Below are 25,912 nucleotides of genomic sequence, written 5' to 3' on the forward strand. Positions count from 1 at the left end.
ATTAACAGGAAGACTAGAGGTAGAGGACTCAGCACAGACAGGAGCAGAGACTCAACAGTGTCATCACAAACCCAGCTTCTTTCCATCCATCTGCTCTGTCATCCTTGTTACTGTGACTTCTTAATCCCCCTACTTGTTTCCTCACAACTGTAAGATAGAAGCTCCAGCTCCAGACATCAAATCAATGCTCTGAAAGTAGAGGGACGGGGTTTGCCATCATGTTCTGCTCTTGCATCCAATTTAGAGGCTCTCACTTCCATCCCAAGCCGGACATGCTCATCTCATTTACCTTTCTGAACAATTTGTCAGTTCTTTTCAATAGAGGCAGTCGCGTCCTGCAACACAGCTTGACAGAGGAGTTGTTAGCAAGGAAGGAGGGAAATGGTACTGGTGTCTGTCACAGTGTCCTTCCAAATTTAATCATATCCTACTAAAGTCTTCTTTTAATGGTATTCTATTACATTTAGCTAGTTGATGCTTATCGGCTGGCTCCTTTTTCTTCTTTCTCTCTTTTTTTTTTTTTTTTTTTTTGAGATGGAGTTTTACTCTCGTCACCCAGGCTGGAGTGCAACGGCGCGCTCTCAGCTTACTGCAACCTCCGACTTCCAGGTTCAAGTGATTCTCCTGCCTCAGCCTCCTGAGTAGCTGGGATTACAGGTGCCTACCACAATGCCTGGCTTATTTTTTGTATTTTTAGTAGAGACAGGGTTTCGCCATGTTGACCAGGCTGGCCTCGAACTCCTGACCTCAGATGATCCACCCACCTCTGCCTCCCAAAGTGCTGGGATTACAGGCATGAGCCACTGCGCCTGGCCTGGCTCCTTTTACTCAACCACTGTAATCCCACTGGTGTGATCTTTCTAAAACACAATCTGACTTCATCATTAGCTTTCTAGTATGGCTTAAAATAATGGTCATGCTGTACCCCTGGGACATCTTTCCAGCATTTTCTCTTCCATGTGGACTGCTGGGTATTATTATAATCGCATAGGATTTATGTTCTCTCTTGCTGCTGCATCTTTGTTCTATTGTCTGTCCAGAATAACCTTCTACTCTTCCTTATAGGCCAGTGTCTCTTTGTACCTCAAACCTAATGCTTTGAGAGGTCTTCCTTAACACCCTGCCCCTTCCAAGCTCAAGCGTCTTTCCTGTTTCCTTCCACAGCACCTGGTGGGAGCCCTTCTTCCTGCCTGCATCTCTGTATTATGATTTGTTTATGTAATTCACCTATCTTTTGGTACCAGATGGAGCTTTCTGAGATTAGGGACTGACTCATCCCTGTACAGTTTGTGACCCGTAGGTGATGCTGAAATCATATATTTTTAATGGCAGCAAGGATGTTAAAACTTTCTGGATGACAGTGTGGGGTACCATACAAAGAATGACCTAGTCCTGTTTCCTAGGAGGTCAAGATAAGTTGGAGGGCATTTTATTTTTTCTTGTTTCTCAGAACTTGAACCTTTCCTGGCTCTAACTTACGTATGGATTATGAGTAGAAGACAAGGCTTCTGAAGCAATGAAGCTTTACAAACCAAAGTTATTTGGAAGAATTGACTCTGAGCACCAAAAACTCACTGGTACAAAGCCAGCATGATAACCACTGTACTTAGGAAATGACTCACTGAACTGCATACATAGAACTAGGCCAGGAGATTTTCTTTTCTTGTGTACCAGCTAGTCAGGTTAGCAACCGCTTTAAATTCTGAGGACTGATAGCCACTAATTCAGATGTACATAGGTGCAAGTACTTGATAGAAAGCAGTCTATTTTAAAGTATCACTTAATAAAAGCTCTAAGCAGTCTATGCAGGTAGGAGTAAGTCTTATAAAGATTGGATTTGCCTATTCTTCACACCAATTCCTTGATTCTGATATTCAGTTACAGGTCACCCGCCCCAGCACCTTGATATGTAGATACAAGTAGGCGTTCTTTACTTTGGGATATGAAAAGATGACAAAGGGATTGAGTGGGAATGATTAACCTCATACTGGGGAATGACGATTGCTGGATATATCACTTACCACACAATAGATGTATTTAAATGTAACAGCTGTAACCAGCATAGGATGGAATTCTGATATCAGGAGTAGGTGATAAACTTAAATTGACATTGGAAAAGAAGTTTCCAGCTTCGTAATTCAGTTAGTCCAGATGTTTTGACCCCACAGACTGTTGATCCTCCTCAATGTTACAGAAACTTGGTCCCAGATTATGTGTGTTGAGAGTTCACTGTATCATTGTAGAGCTTTCATTACTTCAGTGGAAGTCCTTACATCTGACATAATCAGATGTGTCTAGTTAAAAACTAGTTAGTCTAGCTAAGAAAAAGTTATTCAAATTATACACTTTGAATGTTTTAAACCTAAACATAAAAGTCCACTCATTTTCTAGTCTTTTGGGAAAAACAGTCAAAGCCTTGTCCTGAGTATGGTGCCACTGTTTGATTTTTTTTTTCCTGTATCCATAGAACAATTTAATCAATAATGCATTATTCAGTATTTCCAGTTTTTGTTTCTTAAAAATGGCCAGAGACCTTTGCATTCAAATATGTACAAAAAAGTCCAGTTCCTCCTAGGCTCTACAATTGGCTTTGAATCTTTTGCCATTGTCTCTCCCACACCTAATACAATAACTGATTTTTTTTCATCTTTGTTGTGACTTGCTTTTATTTAGCTTTTCCAAAGCATTCATCTTATTCAATTAGTCATTGAAGATAGACCAGGTTTGGTCTTGTCCTCCCATTTAATCAATTAACATAACATTTTGTTAAATTATTTGATGATAACCCACTGAACTGCAGGGGGTAGAAGTGTACAGAAAGAGTGCACTGGCTTTCCAGAAGCACTTGGTGTGCCATGGGCATCTAGCAATATGTTTTACAGAGAAAAAGGTGACTAAGAAGTCCTTGGCCTCACATGTGCACATGTTCAACACTAACTTTATTTAATGGAGTTTTGTTCAATTGCTCACTACCTTGATGTATTCGACAAAATGCCTGCTGTCTGCCGTGTTAACCCTGGCAATTTCTTTTGTCTGTTTTCTTGGCTTTGCAGCATTCTTGCTAAACAACAACAACAACAACAAAACCCCACTCTGTCTAGCTATATTCTTTCTGATATAGAGAGCTATTAAGGAGGATTATATTATCTACCCATTTGACAAGAAGAAACATTTCGTGATTGAAGGCTGAGCTGGAAAATGGTCCCTGGAAGCAGGAGTAGTTCCCTGGACTTTACCCCACCTTGTGTAATGTGGATTCCTATTCAAGTGCTTCATCCTGGGCTCTGCTTCCAGGGAACCAACCCCTCCCAAGATGGGGAATTGAGGGCAAGTAAAGAGAGCAGTGTTCTCATTAACTGTATGAAAGCTGTAAGGAAGATTGAGAAGGAGGATGACACAGAGAAAGATGCTAAGAAAAAAATGTGGCTTCAGGTGAAGGCTCAGCCTGAACCCAAGGGAGCTCTGGGCTACAGGATGTTTCTTGCCTTGAAGCCACCACTGGGGCAGGGAGTTGCAAAGCAACATAACCTGAGAACTGCAGCTTCCATCATCCAAGTACAATCCTCCAAAGAAGGCTGAAGTTATGTGAGCAGGTAGCAGCAGCTAAGCAACACATGTGTGAAAACTAAATTGATAAAAGCAGTAAAAGGGGATCTTTGTAGGTGATTAACTGCAAATTCACAGAATATCAGATAGTAAATGTGTGGTATTGTTAAAATAACTACTTTTATTGGACCCAATTTACGAGCCTCCCTAAATTTTCTGGGTTTCTCTTGTCTCTTGGGCCCTCAACTGGTTAGACAAAAAGAGACCAGCCCCAATTTCCAAATGTCACCAGCTGACCCGTCTCCTCTGGGAAAGCCAACTTCAACATGTCCTCTATTATGCCTTCCTCCTTGGGAAGTGCAGCAGCTGCAGAATCCAGACATGACCCAAGGAAACACACAGACTGCGGTTTCACCTTTCACCTGTTTCCAGACTCAAACACAAAGCATCATACAGTTAAAATGCCACACAGTAAGGCATGGCATTTGGCTTTCGTAGTGCTTTTCCCAAGGGGCCATAGGCACAACCAGGAAGAGCATAGGAGCTAATGCCAATGGGGAAAACTTTAACCACTGGGGGGCAACTTATAGATAAATTCCTTTTTGCTCTCTTCCTCTGATGGATTGTTTTGAGCTGCTGTGGTTCTGTGGAGCATGTCTAGAGATTGTCCCTTGTGACTGAGCAGGTGGCTCTATTTTCCATTCTGAATCTGTGGCTGGCAAAGCAAGCACCACCTAGTATCTGTTTTCCATTCTTCCTTGTTTCACTTCCCCTTTTCCCTCACTCTTCCTGCCCTGCAATTGCACCTCCTCACCTCCCCCAAAACGTTAGCACATAATCTTAGCTTGATTTCCAAAATCAAAAATAAAAACACACCAAAACAGAACCGAAGGCAAAGACAGCACCCCTAGAGATCAAAGTTTCAGTACATGTACAAATCCCCTAAATGGTGGGATTTCACTGTGAAACATCAGGAGAGATATTTTGAGTAAAGAGAGGGTAATCCTGAAATTGTTCTTTTGTTCTTTTTCTGTCTAAACAGTCAATCTTATTAAAATCTAAGTGGATGCTAAGGAACATCCCCAGGATGCTACAAAGAGTTTTCCTTTGTTAAGACGTCTTTTACAAACTAGCTCGGTGTCATGAGCACTGTGGTGAGGCACAGAAAGTAAAAACAATGCAGAGGAGAATGTAGCAACCTAGAAGCTGCTTTTCCTCAAAGGAGTGCAGAACATTCATGAACTGGCATAATGATGAGAGTGATGCAAAACATTCTTATGTTTCAAAAAAGAGAATTGACCTGTTCTTGTGGCTCTGGTCAGATTGAGACCAGCAGTTATGAGGCCAGGACTAGTCTTTTAAAAAATATATTGACAGATAACATTATATGTTTTTATCGTGTACAACATGATATTGTGAAGTACACATACATTGTGAAATGGTTTTGAGCGTTACTAATGTGCAGGCTAGAGAATCTGTCCCAACTGCAAGTGATGTTTGCATCATCATGTCACAATTAGTACTGATGGCTGTGGTCAATTTAGTCTGGAGCTATTAAGATGGGTATGGGGGAGCTGTTCTGTTTTCGCTATTTTATGCTTGTAGAAATGGCCTCAATTTTCTCTTCTGTCTGATTAGTCTTAGCATATGGATTTCTTTTTTGCCATATTCTATTGCAGAGGCTGCCTCTCTCTGCCTTTCTCCCTCACATCTGGAATCCAGCCAAAAGTACCAGAACAAGATGCTTCTCACATTTGGGCCCTTTTGTAAGGGTGCTGATTGCAACTTGGGCAACTTCAGTATAATCTAAGGTGGAAGCTTTCTGCTGCTTTTGGGGAAAAAAATAAGTGTCTAAAAATAAAACCTAGGCATAAAAATAGGGCCAAATACTCATTAACTGCCTCACTTAGCTGAATGCTGAAATTATTTCAACAGCACTAAATCAAGCCTTTGTGTAGAAGAGGTTGGGCATTTTTTTATTCATAATACTTTATCTTAGATGATAAATGGGTTACTGTAATTTCTCACTTTATTCAAAACATGAATTAAATAGTCCTCAGAGACTCAATTTTTGGCTCATGCTCATGCTGACCCTTGAATTGGAGCACTTGTGTTCACAAGTCTCCAGGAATGTATTTTGTGGGCTGCTGTGGGAAAGGATTGGGGGACAGACAGGACCAGGAGTGGTGGATTAAAGGCTTGGGATGCTAGGGTTAAGAATTTGGATCTTACATTAGGTGTGGTGGGAAGCCACTGGAGGGATTTAATTAGGAGAATATTATAGAATGACTTCTTTTTTTAAAAAATATGACTCCTGACTGCTGTATTGACAGTGGATTGGAAGGAGACAACAGTAGGAAAAGGGTAACCAGCCGAATGCGTATTTGTAGATATCCAGGTAAGAAGGGATAGTGGCTTTGGAGCAGGATGGTAATGGTAGAGTTGGAGAGTAGGCAAATAATGGAGTTTATCTAATTCATTAACAACAACAAAAAGATTGGTTAATAGATTAGATATGGGGCATAAGAGAATGGAAGAGTCAAGATTGATTTCTAAGTTTCTGACCCAAACAACTGGAAGAATTTGGTACTAGGTGAGATGAAGACTGGAGAAAGAACAGGATAGTTTCTGCTGTTTTGTTGTGTTTGGGGTGGGTCATAGAGAAATGGAAAAGGAAATGAGGTGGAAATGGCTCATGTTAACTTAGGGAATCTAAATGAACAGTTCAGAAGAATAGTTAAACATATGACCTTGATCCAGTAGATAAGTTTGAGAATCCTTGATGTACAGATTATATTCAGAGTGTGAGATGAACTCGCCTAAGGAGAGAATAGAGAGAAAGTAGAAAACCTGGTAACATTCCATATTTCCACATAAATAGGGCAAGCAGAAGAGAACCAGTAAAGGACTTAGAAGGAACAGCAGTAAGGAAAGAAAAACTAGGAGAGTATGATGTTCCAGAAACCAAGAGAAGACTCTTAACAAAGGCAGGTAACAGTCAATTACATTAAATGCTGCTACGAGGTTGAGTTAGATGAGGACAAATAATATCACTGTTTTTGGTGTTCTTGGTAATACTGACAAGGGCAGTTTATGACATGTCATGCAGAAAAGAGCCGAGAGTTGGTAGGACATTTTAAAGTGGGAAATGAAGACAGCTATTTAGACAATTATTTCAAGAAATTAATGGAGCTGAGAAATAGATAATCAAGAGTAAGGGGAGAATTTTTTGTTTTTTCTCATGTTTCTAAGATGGGTGATTGGAGCTTTTATGCCTATAGAATTGATTCAGGAGAGAGAGAGAGATCCTGATGATGTAGTAGAAAGGAAATATGATTGCAGGGACAAATTTCTTTTTTTTTTTTAATTATACTTTAAATTCTGGGTTACATGTGCAGAACATGCAGTTTTGTTACATAGGTATACAGGTGCCCTGGTGGTTTGCTGCACCCATCAACCCGTCACCTACATTAGGTATTTATCCTAATGTTATCCCTCCCCTAGCCCCCCACCCCCTGACAGGCCCCGGTGTGTGATGTTCCCCTCCCTGTGTCCATGTTCCACTCCCACTTATGAGTGAGAACATGCAGCGTTTGGTTTTCTGATCTTGTGATAGTTTCCTGAGAATGATGGTTTCCAGCTTCATCCATGTCCCTGCAAAGGACATGAACTCATCCTTTTTTATGGCCGCATAGTATTCCATGGTGTATATGTGCCACATTTTCTTTATACAGTCTATCATTGATGGACATTTGGGTTGGTTCCAAGTCAAAATTAAAAGAACTAGAGAAGCAACAGCAAACAAATTCAAAAGCTAGCAGAAGACATGAAATAACTAAGATCAGAGAAGAACTGAAGGAGGTAGAGGAACAAAAAACCCTTCAAAAAATCAATGAATCCAAGAGCTGTTTTTTTTAAAAAAAAAAATCAACAAAATAGATAGACCACTAGCCAGACTAATAAAGAAGAAAAGAGAGAAGAATCAAATAGACACAATAAAAAATGATAAAGAGGGTATCAGCACTGATCCCACAGAAATACAAACTACCATCAGATAATACTATAAACACCTCTACGCAAATAAACTAGAAAATCTAGAAGAAATGGATAAATTCCTGGACACATACACCCTCCCAAGTCTAAGCCAGGAAGAAGTCAAATCCCTGAATAGACCAATAACAAGTTCTGAAATTGAGGCAGTAATTAATAGCCTACCAACCAAAAAAAGTCCAGGACCAGATGGATTCACAGCCAAATTCTACCAGAGGTACAAAGAGGAGCTGGTACCATTCCTTCTGAAATGATTCCAAACAATAGAAAAAGAGGGAATCCTCCCTAACTCATTTTATGGGACAAATTTCTTGAATACAGAAAGGTGTGAGATGCAGAGTACAGTGAAGGGTTTGGCCTTGGATAAGAGCAGAAGGAGAGACAAAAAGAGTGCACCTAGATGTTAATGGGTTGGTTGAGTCAGTGATAGGAGGATGAGGGAGTAGCCATAATCAGTTACAACAATTATGAAGTAAGAGCATCAGCTGGAAAAGAGATGAGAACAGGGAATGTCAGTTTCAAGAGAAGGTAGCAAATATTGGAGTCATTCTAGGCAATGGGAAGATGAACCTCTAGCAAGACAATGGACATGGAATGTTTCAGGGTTACGTTAAACAAGGTGAATTTGAGTTAATTTTTGCTTGGAAAGAGACAGTAATTAAATTTCAAGGTTTTTTTTAATGGCATATAGAGGCAAAAGGTATTATTACATGTTTACATATTTTCATAGTAGAAAAATGAGTTTAATGATTACTTGTAATCTTACTCTTCCAAAATAATCATTGTGATATCCTTTTATATATTATACATGCAAATACTTCCATAGGAAGAAATATAAAGGTCTCAATTTTGATAACTAATACTATTTTGGAGCAGTTTTGACTTTACCAACTATCTTAGTTATTGCTCTAAGAGAAATAAAAGCAATTGGACTCATAACTTTGTCATATTGCAAAAGTATTTCTATATTTTGTTGCTTTTTCCATTTTTATAGAGATAATAGAAAATGTACAGTTTTGTTAAAAGGCCTTCTTCCTAAGGTCGTGTTTTCAATAACTTTCTTATAGTCTTTAAAATGTAAAAATGAAACTCTAAATTATTAATCTACCAGGTTTTATTTTGATAAGATGTGATGAAGGAATCTAATTTTACTTTTTTAAAAAAATTGTTATTTTAACAGGAGTTACATGTGCAGGCTTGTTACATGGGTATATTGCATGATTAATTTCACTTCTTAAAATAGTTTCAAGTCATTCTTAAATCACATACCTCACAACAAATATAGAATATATTCTTGTAATAGTAGAGCTCCTAAATGGTATCTTTTTTATTTATTTTATTTTATTGTTACTTTTTTGAGACAGAGTCTCACTGTCTTGCCCAGGCTGGAGTGCAGTGGTACAATCTCGCCTCACTGCAACCTCCACCTCCCTGGTTCAAGCAATTTGCCTGTCTCAGCCTCTTGAGTAGCTGGGACTACAGGCACATGCCACCACACCCGGCTAATTTTTGTATTTTTAGTAGAGACAAGGTTTCACCATGTTGGCTAGGCTGGTCTTGAACTCCTGACCTCAAGTGATCCTCTTGCCTTGGCCTCCCAAAGTGCTGGTATTACAGGTGTGAACCACCATGCCCAGCCACCAAATGATACCTTTAAAACTTTCTTTTAGAGATTTTAAAACCAATTGTATGCTATTCTTTAAACAAGCTATTTCTTACAGTGTAAAAATTAACTTTAATCCTATCATCTGGGAAAATCAGTTACATTGTACTTGCTTGAAACTGTATTTTTGTGTATACACGTTTTGCCATCTATATTTTCTCACTTTTTTGAGTTTTTGAAACATGCTTTGTAACCCATGAATTTAATGGCTTGCACTAGTATTGGATATGTAAAAATATATTTTCAGGTTTTAGTTGTTCTTTATGTGTGATTATAAATAACATCATAGTTTACACCACTGGCACTTAATATTGAATTTAAATTGGTTTTAGTATTTTCTATCATAAAAGCAAATGTGTCCATGTAGAAAGCTTTAAAAATAACAAATTATTATCCAGAGAACCACTGTTGCAGATATACTAAATCTTTATTCATTCAAGAGCCATGTTTCAGCACCTGTTAATAGCAGTCACTGCTTCAGATATGAAACCTGCTCTTCAGAATTAACATCCTCATATACTTAGTCATATATCTTGTCAGTATCCTATGATCAGAAATGTGTATGTTTTAAAAAAGGAACCATGCTATTTAGAAATTGTATTGTAATCTAATTTTTCTCCGATAACCTATTAAGAAATTCCTTCCATGCCATTGAACCATCCTTTACAATATTATATTTAATGGCCACAAAACAATTATTTGTATGAATGTACCACTCTTTTCCAATTCCCTTTTGCATTTTAAATCCATAACATGTGCACTTTACTTCTCTTTGATAGCATGACTAATATGTTCTGCACAAGACATGAAGGCACAGACAGCACTGTCTTTCTTCCTCATTCTCATAACATCTCTGAGTGGATCTCAAGGTAATTTCGTTTGTAATACAAGTGTTAGTTATTTGCATTATCAGATAGAAACATGAGCACACAATGCAAGGTGGCTATTTCCTCCATAGCCACAGCATCGTGAACTTTCCTAAATCATCAGTTAATCAGAAGCAAGGAACAGGCTGGAAGTCTGCATGAAGACTAAAAATTATATATATTTTTTCTGTCCACTCTGATTAAGACTCTTTCTAATCTGTTGTCTGCTACCAGAAGTAAGTTCACTGGAAAGGCAAGTTTGATTGATTGATTTTTTTTTTTTTAAGTGTAAGCTTGGTACTTACCACTTGACAGAAGGCATTATCAGCTTTGCTAGGTCCTATGACAGGCATTCTTAATTATCCAGTGAAACATTAGAGGGGTTTAGCAGAGCAATTAGAGAGATCGACAGTCACTCTTTTCCTTTCCCATCTTTCTGTGTCTTTCTTTCAGCATGATGCCACATCCCTCTAGCTCTCTGCAGAGAGATTAAGTCTCTCTGAGGAAGAGAGGCGGGACATGGTAGGGTAGAAAGAGCCCCAGAAGGGAAGGTAGAGGATAAAGACTGTGACAGAGCCACTTGGGCACGCAGTTCTTCCATCTTGGGTGGCCTGGGCCATGAGCCAAAGGAGTTACTCCATTGTCCAAAAAATAAGGTCCTTTCCAGTGCTAATATCTTAGAATCCATAGACAGGGCACAAGATCTACTTAAAATATTTTGTAAATCAAAGCAGTTAGATTACCTCCTTCAATGATAGGAAGTGTCTGGGTATATTTTCTTTGCAAAAATCTCTTATTCTGTTGATTTCATTTGCTTTTTGAAATTAACTTGTGAAGTTGACAGTGAAAAGAAAACAAAACAAAATAAGTAAATCAAGAGAATTGGGGATTAGGCTTCCAGATTTATCTCCAGATATTCCTTACCTACATTTTGACCAACTCAGGATATCCTGAGAGCAGTCTTAAACTCAAAGCAAATGAATGACTCTCTTTCCCTTTTGGACTCCTCCTGCTCATGTCCTTCCCTATTTAGATCTAGTGTACAGATATCAGATTCCTGAACCCAGCATTGTCTTCTATGTGCTCCAAATATTTTCTTACCCAGTCAAGCTGAGTTTATTCCATTCTTTTAGGGCCTGCTGGCTGTTGCTAGCTGGATAAACTAATTTATTGTTGCTATAGTAGGAGTTAAATGTGAATGTGTTCTGGGAATGAAATCCAATGGAGTCTTTTAACATACATGATTTCCAGGCCAGGATTGGAAGAGAGATAAGATTATTGATCAAGTGGGCAGCAAACCAGTGTTTCTATGCCTTGGGCTGTTACCAGTTCTCCCAGTTACATTGCATAAAACAGATATTCAATTAAAATTAAAACTCAAACACAGAGCTTCACAGGTTTGTTTCTAATAATCAGACAAGTGTTTTTGATTATGTGGTCTACTAATAATCAGGCTGCTAACCTAGGATAGTTCTTCTGGGTAGTTCTGGTATAATCCTGAACAAGCACATGGCATTAATTCTCTTTATAACTTCTCTGCTCTTGACTGTAGGCATATTCCCTTTGGCTTTCTTCATTTATGTTCCTATGAATGAACAAATCGTCATTGGAAGACTTGATGAAGATATAATTCTCCCTTCTTCATTTGAGAGGGGATCCGAAGTCGTAATACACTGGAAGTATCAAGATAGCTATAAGGTTCACAGTTACTACAAAGGCAGTGACCATTTGGAAAGCCAAGATCCCAGATATGCAAACAGGACATCCCTTTTCTATAATGAGATTCAAAATGGGAATGCGTCGCTATTTTTCAGAAGAGTAAGCCTTCTGGACGAAGGAATTTACACCTGCTATGTAGGAACAGCAATTCAAGTGATTACAAACAAAGTGGTGCTAAAGGTGGGAGGTAAGTGTGCATGTAAAGTTTCATGAAACAGCAATGACATCATTCCATGTTATTAGTAAGCGTCTTTTTCCTAATATGCCATGAGCTTCCTTCCAAGTCAATACATGGAAATCTACTTATTTTTAACGCACAGCAACTTGTAGTATACTAATGTTATAAATGATACAACTGTTCCCCTGTTGGTGGGTATTCAGGCATTTCCAGTGTTTTACATTACATGGTTGTGATGAACATCCTTATAATTGTACTTAATACTGGGAAATAATCTGAAAGCAAAGTACCAGAAGATTTAAATGGGTTACTGATACTAGCAGCATAAGACTATCCACTTTCCCCTTAGTCTTATCAGTACCAAATAACTGCCAATATCATGACTGAAAAAATATTGAATTGCTGATTTAAATTGCATTTTTCTATATTATAAATGAGGTTAATTTTATATTATATGCTTTCCTTCTCTGTATTAGCTATATATAACACTATACCTATATAACTATAAGCCATTAATATAGTTAATACATACAGTTATATACAGTTAATATCACTCAGACAGAGCTTCATGGTGGTTATATTATACAGTTAATATAACTATATAATATATTAACTGTATTAATATATTAACTGTTGCTAATTCTCATAGTTACATTGAACCAAACAGGTATTAGATTAAAACTGAAGAAATTCAAAGAGCTTCATGGCTCCTAATTACCGGATTACCAAGAGTTCCTGATGATGTGCTCTGTTAATGATCAGGCTGCTGATCATTTATATGCAATATAGTTAGTATGCATTATAATATATAGAACAATCTTACATATAGATATATATACACACACACACATACATGCAGTATTTTCTAATGGGTTGTTTTTCCCAGCACTTGTTTCTTTTTCTTCTGTCCCTTTTAGCTGCTTCAGACCTTGATTCAGAAATCACAAAATTATGTGTAAACAGTCAAATAGGTGCTCTGAGTCAGTATTTGAGGAGTGTAGAGTGCCGCATGAACTCTACTTTATAGACTTAGACATCCTCATTTTGGTTTTTCAATGAGGCCATTAGATTTCTTTTCCAGCTATGTTTCTAGAAAATTGAGATTGCTAGTTGCCACATACCCATGCCTGCTCTTTTTTTATTTCTTCTAGATAACCACACTATATCTTAAGGTTCTACAGAGGTGTGTGTTTGTTGGTTTGTTTTCCCTTTCAGTAACTGCCAAGTTTTGCTCATAAAATTTAGCTTTTCATTTCATGGATATTAAAAAGTATTCTGCACAGACGGCCTATAAAGAAGCTAATGATGGCAGTTTTTCATGCGCCCTTCTTTCTCCTATGTAGTTTTTCTCACACCCGTGATGAAGTATGAAAAGAGGAACACAAACAGCTTCTTAATATGCAGCGTGTTAAGTGTTTATCCTCGTCCAATTATCACGTGGAAAATGGACAACACACCTATCTCTGAAAACAACATGGAAGAAACAGGGTCTTTGGATTCTTTTTCTATTAACAGCCCACTGAATATTACAGGATCAAATTCATCTTATGAATGTACAATTGAAAATTCACTGCTGAAGCAAACATGGACAGGGCGCTGGACGATGAAAGGTAGGCTCCACAGGACTTTCTGTGTACACGTGCTGTTTCAAAGTTGGGGGGTAATGGGGACTGATTTGCAAAAAAAGAAAGGAAGATGAAAGAAAAGAAAGCAAATCCATCTGCAGCGGTTAGAAGACCAAGACCGAAGCCCTAGGGCTGGTTCTTCTGGCTGTATTACATTAAGCAATCATTCTTACTTTTGAGCATTAGTACCTCATTGATAAAATAGAAGTAATTCTTACCTTGCTATGTATTTATGAGTTGAGTGAAAACATTCATGAAGTGGAAAGAAGCAAATCTATTCTTGAATATTAATGTATTTGTCAATGGCTCATCCTTCAAACAGGATTTTCTACCAGCATTGCTCTTTAAAAGATCAAAGGAGAAAGAATACTTGTCTTTCAGCAGATCACAACTTCCAATCTTACAATTAAACAAAATATTAATGAGTATTATTGCTTCTTTTTAGTTTCTTTACATAGTATTAGCCCATCAATCTTTATCCAACACCTCTATCACAACATGGTCAGTTTTTAGCGCTCGTTCCTCTCATTTATTTGAACAGATCCAAACTCTGATCAATCTCTATATCCAAAACCTGTTTAATAAAAAGTAATTTGCTATCTCCATATCCAAGTCCAAGAAAATTTGTTTTCCTTTTTTTTTTTTTTTTTTGAGATGGAGTCTCCCTCTGTCGCCCAGGCTGGAGTACAGTGGCATGATCTCAGCTCAATGCAACCTCCACCTCCCAGTTTCAAGTGATTCTCCTGTCTCAGCCTCCTGAGTAGCTGGGATTACAGGCACATGCCACCACATGTGGCTAATTTTTGTATTTTTTTAGTAGAGACAGGGTTTCACCATGTTGGTCAGGCTGGTCTCGAACTTCTGACCTCGTGATCCACCCATATCGGCCTCCCAAAGTGCTAGGATTACAGGCGTGAGCCACCGTGCCCAGCCTGTTTTTCATTTTATTAGTAACAAAGCAAAAATTTTCTGTCAGTCTCCCTTATAGGGGGAAAATGGAGGTTATCTTTTTTTTTCAGTCTTCTCTTTCCTAGCATCTCATATTCTCAAAATGCTCACCAAAAATATACTGAAATTGTGGGTGATTCACCACATTTACATGAGTCCAGTGTTAAAGGCATGAGTACCCAATGTTCATTCTCCATCAGTCAGGCAGCAATGGAAACATGGGAAAGGGTTGCAAATGTTAATATTATAAATATTGCCTTTGGAAAATCCTAATTTCTCATGTTCATTTAGAATTGAGTGTCTTGAAGCATGAACAGTTCTTTAGGCTCAGTACTGTTTGGTCTCATTGAAAAGCTATTACGTGCCAAGTTTTGTTGCTCACAGACTGTGAACTTAAGAACATGGTCTCTACTGATTTCTGGATCCACAGCATCTAGTACAAATATAAAAATTAAACTAGGAACATAGCTTACAAAGGGAGTGATTAATTCTATTCTCTGTGGTTGGACATGAATGGGGTTGTCACAGAATATGTGCTTAAGAAAGTTGCATAAGGGTAGAATTTTAGAAGAGTAGTAGGACATTCCAGGAGAAGAAGAATATTCCAGGTAAAAAGCACAGAAAAGTAAAATTGCCTGGATTTGTGGAATCAATGGATCAAGAGATGAACCTGGAGAGGGAGGCCAAAAACAGATGAAAGACCTTTTACACGTTGCTAAGGAGCTTGTTGAGTCTTGGAGGTAGGATAGATCAGAAGAGGGATTTGAACCATCAGAGAGGCCCTGGATTTGCCTTTTGGAGGGCTTACTTTGGCATCACTCTCCTGCAGGTAGACTGGAAGCCAGGTGAGTCTAGAGCCAGGGGGAACAGTCCATGACAGTCCATAGAGGTCAGCCTACAACACTACAGAACGGGAAGGACAAGATGGAGCTGGGTCTGGAGGGGCAAGCCAAGAAAATTCAGCAGTCTCTCTTTAAAAGAGCTCAGTCCAGTGGGGGTTGCCTGCACACAGCTGGAAATATTCTTATATGAAGAAAAAGAGATTTTGTCTAGAAAAAGAGATTAAGAAGTAGTGAGGCCATAAAAGTTAGAGACCACTAGGGAGTAGGTAGGGTACCAAAAGGGGTGTTCTGGGGACCACCAGCATTAGAGGGGCCAAGAGAAGGAGAACATTGAGTTTAATAGGCTAGTAACTGGTAGCAACATTCCTGAGTGCTTACTGTCAGGTTCTAAGAGTTAAAACAAGTATATCACCCCTCTAGCTGGCCCTGGCTTAGCCCTCCTTGAAGGTCTAAACTAACCTTGGTGGGAAACTTTAAAATAGTGGTAGTAAAACTTGTCTTTTAAGAAACCACAGTACAAATATAATTACTTTCCAAAAAGTTATTTCCAAATATATCAGTATTAGTGCCTTTGTTCTCTGCTTTCTAAGTGTAACTTAGAGAATTCTTTTGAAATGTTTATCTTCATTGATGTTTTCTTTTCTATTGTGTTGTTAGATGGCCTTCATAAAATGCAAAGTGAACACGTTTCACTCTCATGTCAACCTGTAAATGATTATTTTTCACCAAACCAAGACTTCAAAGTTACTTGGTCCAGAATGAAAAGTGGGACTTTCTCTGTCCTGGCTTACTATCTGAGCTCCTCACAAAATACAATTATCAATGAATCCCGATTCTCATGGAACAAAGAGCTGATAAACCAGAGTGACTTCTCTATGAATTTGATGGATCTTAATCTTTCAGACAGTGGGGAATATTTATGCAATATTTCTTCGGATGAATATACTTTACTTACCATCCACACAGTGCATGTAGGTAAGTTGCAAGTAGGTTTGGATAATGGGTTTTGGCTGTAGCATTAGAGGTTTGTGAATATCAAAGAGAAAATTAGGTTGACTTTTCAAGAATACATTGATACCCTCTCAAAATATAATCCACAGGGATATTTCTGGTCAGGATGTCGATTACCCTCCCTCCTTCAACCACACAAAAGTCCTGTTTTGAAAAAAAAAATTACTCCCACAGATTTCCTTTCAGGATTTTGGGGCTTCAGAAATGAGGAGGAAACACATTTTGATGACTCCATGCGCTGAGCATCTTCCATTTCTGCTCACTGCTGTGCCTAATATATACCTTAGGCCTAGGGTTTGGGGATTCAAGGCTAGAGACACATTAGGAAGTTACAATCGGGGTCCTGAAGAATGCTGGGAAATCATGACAGTGTCTATGAACTTGGAAATAGTCACCACACAATATTTGAAGCACCAAGTATATATTCCTAGTTCAGTTCATTTTTACCTCTGTTGATAGTTCACTGCCAAAAACCATTATCTAAAATATTTCTAGTCAACTAACCATCAAGTCATGGAATATATACTCATGAAGCTGACCTTCTAGGTGAGCTGGATGGTCCCACCCTTAAACTATCAACTTCACATCATGGCAGACCATGGCAGCTCTTTCTGTCCTTCAATAAAGGTATTTGAACCAGTGGAACTTATGTTTTAGAAATATTTCTATCATTTCAATTGTGAAAATTAGGAGGAATAACATTTGAAGTTTTGGTGATTCTACGTAGTGAGATTTGGAGACAAGAGCACAGAGTTGTCCTTTAGGTTATGTGATCTTCAAATACTTGGAAGCTTCTGGACATTGAGTAATAACACTCCCTTTGTAGAGCTGCCACTTTGAGAGTAGAGAATGAAAAACTGGGGCTGCATTTGAAGCTCCTATTTTTCTCCAAAAATAAAAGTGTCAGTTTTATGTAAAATACAGTTAAGCCTGCAATCTATTTTTAAAAATGTTGCCTCATGTTGGATTAATTTTGGAGTGTAAAAAAAAAAATAGTCAAGAAGAAATGTCCTAAAGACTACATATGGCCCGTCTTCCCACCCAGAGATCTAATTTTCAGTTCACACAAAGTGAAACATCAGGACCATTCCATCTCTGACAAAAGAGTATTTTCAGAACCTCTCATTCTCAAATAAATGTTGGCCAGGTGGGGCTGGGGGAGGGTGTGCTCACCCTTCCCCACGAGGAAGAGGACTTGGCAGGAGCCACCCCAGCAGGCCAGGGAACAGGGCAAACAGTCTTGGTACCTTAAATATCATCCTTTCAAGGATGACTTTTCCATTTGTTGCCTTTCCCAGGAGGTGCTACAACAAGATGGGGGGTACTTATGATTCCTCGAATCTAGATCTGCTCAATTAAGGTTGCACCAAGCTGAATGGAATTAAATAATCCTTGCTAAGTTCTGCTGCTGAATCAATATGTGACCTTGGGCAAATATCCTTACAGATGGGGGAACCTGAGGGTCACGAGTACAGTGAGAAGTAGCTATACCTTGTAGGATTTCCTTTAGGAGGAAGAAAAATGCATATGAAAACCCTGTAGAAAGTCAACCTAACATTCCTACTTAATCTCTCCTTTATATAGGTACAGTAGTCCCCCCTTTCCTTGGGGGATATGTTCCAAGACCCCCAGTGGATGCCTGAAACTATGGACAGTACTAAACCCTATATATGCATTCCCACATGGTACGAGGATTAATCTGTCCTTCCATGTTTATGCCTTGGTGCCTCATTCACACTTCTATGAATACAGGTTCTATTGGGCATCTTCTTCCAGCAGAGCTTGCTTTCATTGCAATTAAAGATTTGCTTTAGATGGAAATGTGGCTGTAGCTTCTTCATCAGCAGACACAGCCTCTCCAGTAATTTTTATATTTTTCAGTCCAAGCTGATTTCTAAATCTGTGTAGCCATCCTCTATCCTCTACTTGCAATAAATGGCCTGTTTCAAGGGATCTCTTGCTGAAGTCTTCATATAAGCCCAAAGCTTTCCAGTGCAACATATCATCAACCAGAACACATTTCTGTTATGTCTTCCACCCTCAAATTTAATGCCATTTCCATCTTAACTCAGCATATACAACACACTGTGGCCATAACTGTTGTAGTTTGAGATGTGACTGCAAAACTAACACAAATTTTCTTCTTTCTTTCTTCACAATTTTACAGATAGAAGATTCATTTTCACCATAGATCTCAGCAACCTCAATATATGATTTTTCATAAGTCAAGGGCTTTAATTGTTTTAGTTCAAAGAAGCACTTTATGGCTTCTTTTTGGTATATCCAAATTGCCAGCATCACTACTCTTGTGCTTTGGGACCATTCTTAAAGAAAATAAGGGTTACTTGAACACAAGCATTGTTATACCATGACAGTCAGTCTGATAACTGAGATGGCTAGTAAATGATTCATGGGGGTAGTGTGTACAACGTGGATATGCCGGACAAAGGGCGCAGTCACGTCCCAGGTGGGATGCAGTGGCGTGACACGATATTTCTTCATGCTACTCAGAATGGCACACAATTTAAAACTTAAGAATTATTTATTCCTGGAATTTTCCATTTGGTTATGTTTGGACTACAGTTGACCATGGGTAACTAAAACCTCAGAAAGTTAAACCAGGGATAAAGCGGACTCCTGCGTGGAATTTCAGAATGACACAAATAGGTGGAGAGATTAATATTTTATTAGTTGTAAAACACTATAGTATGTTCATAGAAAATTACATTTGTTATGTAAAAAGAGGTATTCATTCTAAAGGATAGCCACAAACATTTTCCCCCTGAATTGACCTTTGTGCTCTAATGCTTGCTGCCCTCGTTTTAGCAGAACATAGACCATAAGGTTAGCAGGGTTCTGACTTTGGTAACCCAGGGTCTCTGGAGTCCCCATTTCCATTAATACTAATTTCAACAATTCTAGTCCTGACCAAGATGCTGGAGAAAGTTTAGGCTCCTCCAGTTATTTCTGAGGAGCTCCAAACACTATCAGCAGGTCCTCCTTTTCTGCAGTTTGTTACACAAAGTCAACCACTGTCTGAAATTTTTAAAAGGAAAATTCCAGAAATAATGTTTTAAATTGTGTGCCATTCTGAGTAGCATGATGAAATTGCATGTCATCCCGCTCCATCCTGCCTTGAAGGTGAATCCTCCCTTTGTCCAGCATATCACACCGTGGATGCTACCCGCCTGTTAGCCCTCCTGGTAATCAGATCTACTGTCATGATATCGCAGTGCTTGTGATCAAGTAACCCTTATTTTATTTAAGAATGGCCTCAAAGCACAAGAATAGTGATGCTGGCAGTTCAGATACACCAAAAAGAAGCCGTGAAGTGCTTCCTTTAAGGGAAAGCTCTCAAGAGGAAAAAAGAGCCTATGTCGAGGTTGCTAAGATCTACAGTAAGAAAGAATCTTCTACCTATAAAACTGTGAAGATGGAAAAAGAAATTAGTGTATAGTATGCATAGCGTTCAGTACTAAGGTTTCAGGCATCCACTTGGGGGACTTGGAATGTATCCCCCAGGGATAAGGCGGGGGACTACTGTGCCTATTATCTCTGTGGTCACCTGCCACCTCTAACTCAAGACCAGGGCTTCTACTCATCTCCTTTTATCACCTCTGAACTTACCACTGTTCCCTTAGGACCCTGTCTTCTCTAGGCCAATGGCAGACTGCACTCTTACTTCATCCTCCAAGGTGAACACTGGGCTGAGGCTAATTTATGGACATAATTATTCCTTTATAAAAATGTGTTGTTTCTTATTACAGTATAAAGCAATAGAAACTGAAAATGCATAATAGATGTATTACCTCTCCAGTTTTCAGACTTTTCTCCCAGCTCCCCCACCTCCACCAATCTCCAATAATATTATGGTATCTGTAGGTTTCCCACAATAGATACACTGAGACTAGGAGATATTTATGCTCAAGACAAACTCTCCTGTCCAGTCTGGGCTCTTGGCTTTATCCTAAAGGACGTTTTTATTATGCAAAGTGTTTTCATATGAATTCAGCCTCCTACCTGTAATGCAGAAATAACTAGTTTTTAAAATAGTAAACATACTCCACCCTTACCCACCCACACATTTCTTATCTGGTAATTTTTCTTCCAGTTCACAGACTTTGTTTCTCCTTTTTTTTTTTAGAACCGAGCCAAGAAACAGCTTCCCATAACAAAGGCTTATGGATTTTGGTGCCCTCTGCGATTTTGGCAGCTTTTCTGCTGATTTGGAGCGTAAAATGTTGCAGAGGTAATAGAAGAATTTGGGCTCTGCCCCACGTGTTCCACATCACGTATATTAAAGATAACATGGAAATACATGCCCAAACAGCTACTGGGCATGTAATTGATCTGAATTTTCTGGAATGTCATTCACAAAATTCACCCAAAATCTTTTAAAATGCTCCTACATTTCCACCTAACCATTCTACTTCTAGGAATTTATCTCACATTAAATGAGCAGAGGTACACCAAACTATATACAAGCATATTCACTGCAGCACACTGCTATTGCCTTTAGGTTTCCTACTATTTTCAATAAATAATTGGGAAATTAATTAAAGATCATACTTTACTTTTTAAAATTTTAATCTAGTATTAAAATGATAACCAGGATGACTTAATCATCCTGCATTGAAAAGTAACTGGAAAGAAAAAAGCCAAAGCTTTAAGATGTTGCCTTTGGAGTGATAGGACCATGAGTTCTTCCTTACCCTCACACCTCAGAAGGAAGCCAGATACCTCCTTAAGCCCCTGGGCTCTGCCTGTTCTCCCTTGCTCTGAGTTTAGTCAAGGTTGGTGCTCTGATTGAAACTGCATTGTTCTTTTCTTATGGGTCATTTCATTTTAATTGTTGTTCAATTAATCTTTTTCTAAATTTTAGGCAAAAAATCTTACCAGTAATTTAAAATATCTTAAGATGCCATGATCATGGGAAGTACTTTTAGGGAATACTTTCCTAAAGTACTTTGCTTTTAGTACCAGAATTTTGAGCTAGAGAGCATCTGGGCAAAACTTAGATCTAGTTGATCTCCACATTTTACAGATCAGGAAACAGGAATCCAGGAAGTTAGCTTAAGTGCCAAGTAGGCATGTGAAACAGATTTAGGTGGATCATTTAATATCACCAAGCCAGCTAATGGTAGAGGCAGGTTGAGGCCCCCAGAAGCCCTCCCTTATTCCATTATCCCCCTGAGAAGGCTCTGGGTGTCCTGGGAACTTGAGATAGATCCTATGTCTCTTTTATCTGTCCTTCTGGTTGATATTTGGCTATTGCCCCTGCTGAAGTTAGGAGATTAGGGTTATAGCAGAAACTATTATTGAAGATACAGTTTTAGGGGCAATGGAGAGCAAGCATTTCACCAATTCTAGCCCTGTGATCATTCGTACTAATAAGCAGGATAGTTCCTGTCCCTTGGCTGGCCAGATGGAGTAAGACCACAGGCAGTCTAGCCTGTCCACGAAGATCAACCGTTGACCTAATATACTGATATTTGTGATTGGATTAGGTTCAAATTATGGGAGGTGGTGCTACATCCTACTCAAGAATGATAGTTTAGTTTCTTTAGTGGAAGTCTGCATAAGTCAGTTCTCAACTGAAAACACATGGCACACTCAAAACTGGATAAAGAACTTATGAGACAGTATATTCATGGCTGGGAGCACCCGAATCACTAGCAAACTTAAACTTGAAGGGACAAGGACAGAGAGCAGTTCCCAAAACTTGGAAGGAGAGAGTCACGTAAGATTAGTTGCCTTGTAAGGAGAGTGACTTACTTCTTTTTTTTTTTTTCTTTCTTTTTAAGTTCTGGGATACATGTGCTGAACATGCAGGTTTGTTACATAGGTATACATGTGCCCTGGTGGTTTGCTGCACCTATCAACCTGTCATCTAGGTTTTAAGCACCACATACATTAGGTATTTGACCTGATGCCCTCCCTCCCCTTTACCCTCATCCTCCAACAGGCCCCAGTGTGTGATGTTCCCCGCCCTGTGTCCAAGTGATCTCATTGTTCAATTCCCACCTATGAGTGAGAATATGCGGTGTTTGGTTTTCTGTCCTTGTGATAGTTTGCTGAGAATGATGGTTTCCAGCTTCATCCATGTCCCTGCAAAGCACATGAACTCATTCTTTTTTATGACTGCATAGTATTCCATGGTGTATATGTGCCACATTTTCTTTATCCAGTCTATCCTTGATGGGCATTTGGGTTGGTTCCAAGTCTTTGCTATTGTGCATAGTGCTGCAATAAACATACATGTGCATGTGTCTTCATAGTAGAATGATTTATAATTTTTTGGGTATATACCCAGTAATGGGATTGCTGGGTCAAATGGTATGTCTGGTTCCAGATCCTTGAGGAATCGCCACACTGTCTTCCACAATGGTTGAACTAATTTACTCTCCCACCAACAGTGTAAAAGCATTCCTATTTCTCCATATCTGATCTCTAGCATCTGTTGTTTCCAGACTTTTTAATGATCACCATTCTAACTGGTATGAGATGGTATCTCATTGTGGTTTTGATTTGCATTTCTCTAATGACCAGTGATGAGGTGCTCTTTTTCATATGTTTGTTGGCTGCATAAATGTCTTCTTTTGAGAAGTGTCTGTTCATATCCTTCACCCACTTTTTGATGGGGCTGTTTATTTTTTTCTTGTAAATTTGTTTCAGTTCCTTCTAGATTCTGGATATTAGACTTTTGTCAGATGGGTAGACTGCAGAAATTTTCTCCCATTCTGTAGGTTGCCTGCTCACTCTGATGATAGTTTCTATGGCTGAGCAGATGCTCTTTAGTTTAAGTAGATCCCATTTGTCAATTTTGGCTTTTGTTGCAATTGCTTTTGGTGTTTTAGTCATGAAGTCCTTGTCCATGTCTATGTCCTGAATGATATTGCCTAGGTTTTCTTCTAGGGTTTTTATGGTTTTAAGTTTTATGTTTAAGTCTTTAATCCACCTTGAATTAATTTTTGTATAAGGTGTAAGGAAGGGGTCTAGCTTCTATTTTCTGCATATGGCTAGCAAGTTTGCCCAGCACCATTTATTAAACAGGGAATCCTTTCCCCATTGCTTGTTTTTGTCAGGTTTGTCAAAGATCGAATGGTTGTAGATGTGTGGTGTTATTTCTGAGGCCTGTGTTCTGCTCCATTGGTCTATGTATCTGTTTTGGTACCAGTACTATGCTGTTTTGGTTACTGTAGCCTTGTGGTATAGTCTGAAGTCAGGCAGCATGATGCCTCCAGCTATGTTCTTTTGCTTAGGATTGTCTCGGCTATATGGGCTGTTTTTTGGTTCCATATGAAATTTAAAGTACTTTTTTCTAGTTCTGTGAAGAAAGTCAATGGTAGCTTGATGAGAATAGCATTGAATCTATAAATTACTTTGGGCAGTATGGCCATTTTCACGATATTCATAAGTATGAAATTTTTTTCCATTTGGTTGTGTCCTCTCTTATTTCCTTGAGCAGTGGTTTGTAGTTCTCCTTGAAGAGGTCCTTCACATCCCTTGTAAGTTGTATTCCTAGGTATTTTATCTTCTTTGTAGCAATTGTGAATGGGAGTTCACTCATGATTTGGGTCTCTGTTTGTCTGTTATTGGTGTATAGGAATGCTTGTGATTTTTGCACATTGATTTTGTATCCTGAGACTTTACTGAAGTTGCTTATCAGCTTAAGGAGATTTTGGGCTGAGACAATGGGGATTTCTAAATATACAATGACATCATCTGCAAACAGAGACAATTTGACTTCCTCCGTTCCTATTTGAATACTCTATTTATGTCTCTTGCCTGATTGCCCTGGCCAAAACTTCCAATACTATGTTGAACTATGGTGAGAGAAGGCATCCTTGTCTTGCGCCGGTTTTCAAGGGGAATGCTTCCAGCTTTTGCCCATTCAGTATGATATTGGCTATGGGTTTGTCATAAATAGCTCTTATTATATTGAGATATGTTCCATCAATGCCCAGTTTATTGAGAGTTTTTAGCATGAAGTGGTGTTGAATTTGATTGAAGGCCTTTTCTGCATCTATTGAGATAATCATGTGGTTTTTGTCACTGGTTCTGTTTATGTGATGGATTACATTTATTGATTTGCATATGTTGAACCAGCCTTGCATCCCAAGGATGAAGCCAACTTTATCATGGTGCATAAGCTTTTTGATGGGCTGTGGATTCAGTTTGCCAGTATTTTATTGAGGATTTTCGCTTTGATGTTCATCAGGGATATTCGCCTGAAGTTTTCATTTTTTATTGTATCTCTGTCAGGTTTTGGAATCAGGATGATGCTGGCCTTATAAAATGGTTAGGGAGGAGTCCCTCCTTTTCTGTTGTTTGGAATAGTATCAGAAGGAATGGTACCAGCTCCTCTTTGTACCTCTGGTAGAATTCGGCTGTGAATCTGTCTGGTCCTGGGCTTTTTTGGCTGGTGGGTTATTAATTACTGCTTCAATTTCAGAACTTGTTATTGGTTTATTCAGAGATTCGACTTCTTCCTGGTTTAGTCTTAGGAGGGTGTCCGGGAATTTATCTATTTCTTCTAGATTTTCTAGTTTATTTGCTTAGAGGTGTTTATAGTATTCTCTAATAGTAGCTTGTATTTCTGTGGGATCAGTTGTGATATCCCCTTTATCATTTTTTATTGTGTCTGTTTGATTCTTCTTTCTTTTCTTCTTTATTAGTCTGGCTAGCAGTCTATCTATTTTGTTAATCTTTTCAAAATAGCAGCTCCTGGGTTGACAGACACCTCATACAGGAGATCTCCAGCTGGCATCAGGCTGGTGCCCCTCTGGGACAAAGCCTCCAGAGGAAGGAGCAGGCAGCAATCTTTGCTGTTCCGCAGCATCCACTGGTGATACCCAGGCAAATAGGAACTGGAGTGGACCTCCAGAAAACTGCAGCAGACCTGCAGAAGAGGGTCCTGACTGTTAGAAGAAAAACTAACAAACAGAAAGCAGTAACATCAACATCAACACAAAGGACCCCCATACAAAACCACATCCAAAGGTCATCAGCCTCAAAGATCAAAGGTAGATAAATAAATGAAGATGAGGAAAAACCAGCACAAAAATGCTGAAAATTTAAAAAACCAGAATGCTTCTTCTCTTCCAAATGATTGTAACTCCTCTCCAGCAAGAGCACAAAATTGGACAGAGAAAGAGTTTGACAAATTGACAGAAGTAGGCTTCAGAAGGTGGGTAATAACAAACTCCTCTGAGCTAAAGGAGCATGTTCTAACCCAATGTAAGGAAGCTAAGAACCTTGATAAAAGGTTACAGGAACTGCTAACTAGAATAACCAGTTTAGAGGAGAATATAAATGACCTGATGGAGCTGAAAAACACAGCATGAGAACTCGTGAAGCATACACAAGTATCAGTAGCCGAATCGATCAAGCAGAAGAAAGGATATCAGAGACTGAAGATCAACTTACTGAAATAAGGTGTGAAGACAAGATTAGAGAAAAAA

General features: G+C 38.8%; 1 protein-coding gene across 14 annotated transcripts in view; it reads left to right on the plus strand.

Moving 5' to 3' along the window:
* Positions 1-25,912, plus strand: part of HHLA2 (HHLA2 member of B7 family) — an 81,738-nt gene that overhangs the window by 45,202 nt on the left and 10,624 nt on the right. For 12 of the 14 annotated variants that reach the window (XM_047447369.1, XM_011512362.3, XM_005247080.4 and 9 more), the window contains 5 exons: positions 10,039-10,128; positions 11,678-12,031; positions 13,366-13,632; positions 16,095-16,412; positions 20,593-20,697. In XM_047447369.1, the coding sequence (XP_047303325.1) occupies positions 10,065-10,128; positions 11,678-12,031; positions 13,366-13,632; positions 16,095-16,412; positions 20,593-20,697 (1,108 nt within the window). In that variant the 5' untranslated portion in view covers positions 10,039-10,064. The remainder of the gene's footprint in view (positions 1-10,038; positions 10,129-11,677; positions 12,032-13,365; positions 13,633-16,094; positions 16,413-20,592; positions 20,698-25,912) is intronic. The other 2 variants (NM_001282559.2, XM_011512367.4) reach the window with 2 other exon arrangements.

This window comes from Homo sapiens, chromosome 3 (genome assembly GCF_000001405.40).
Source record: "Homo sapiens chromosome 3, GRCh38.p14 Primary Assembly".
Classification (NCBI taxonomy): Eukaryota; Metazoa; Chordata; class Mammalia; order Primates; family Hominidae; genus Homo; species Homo sapiens.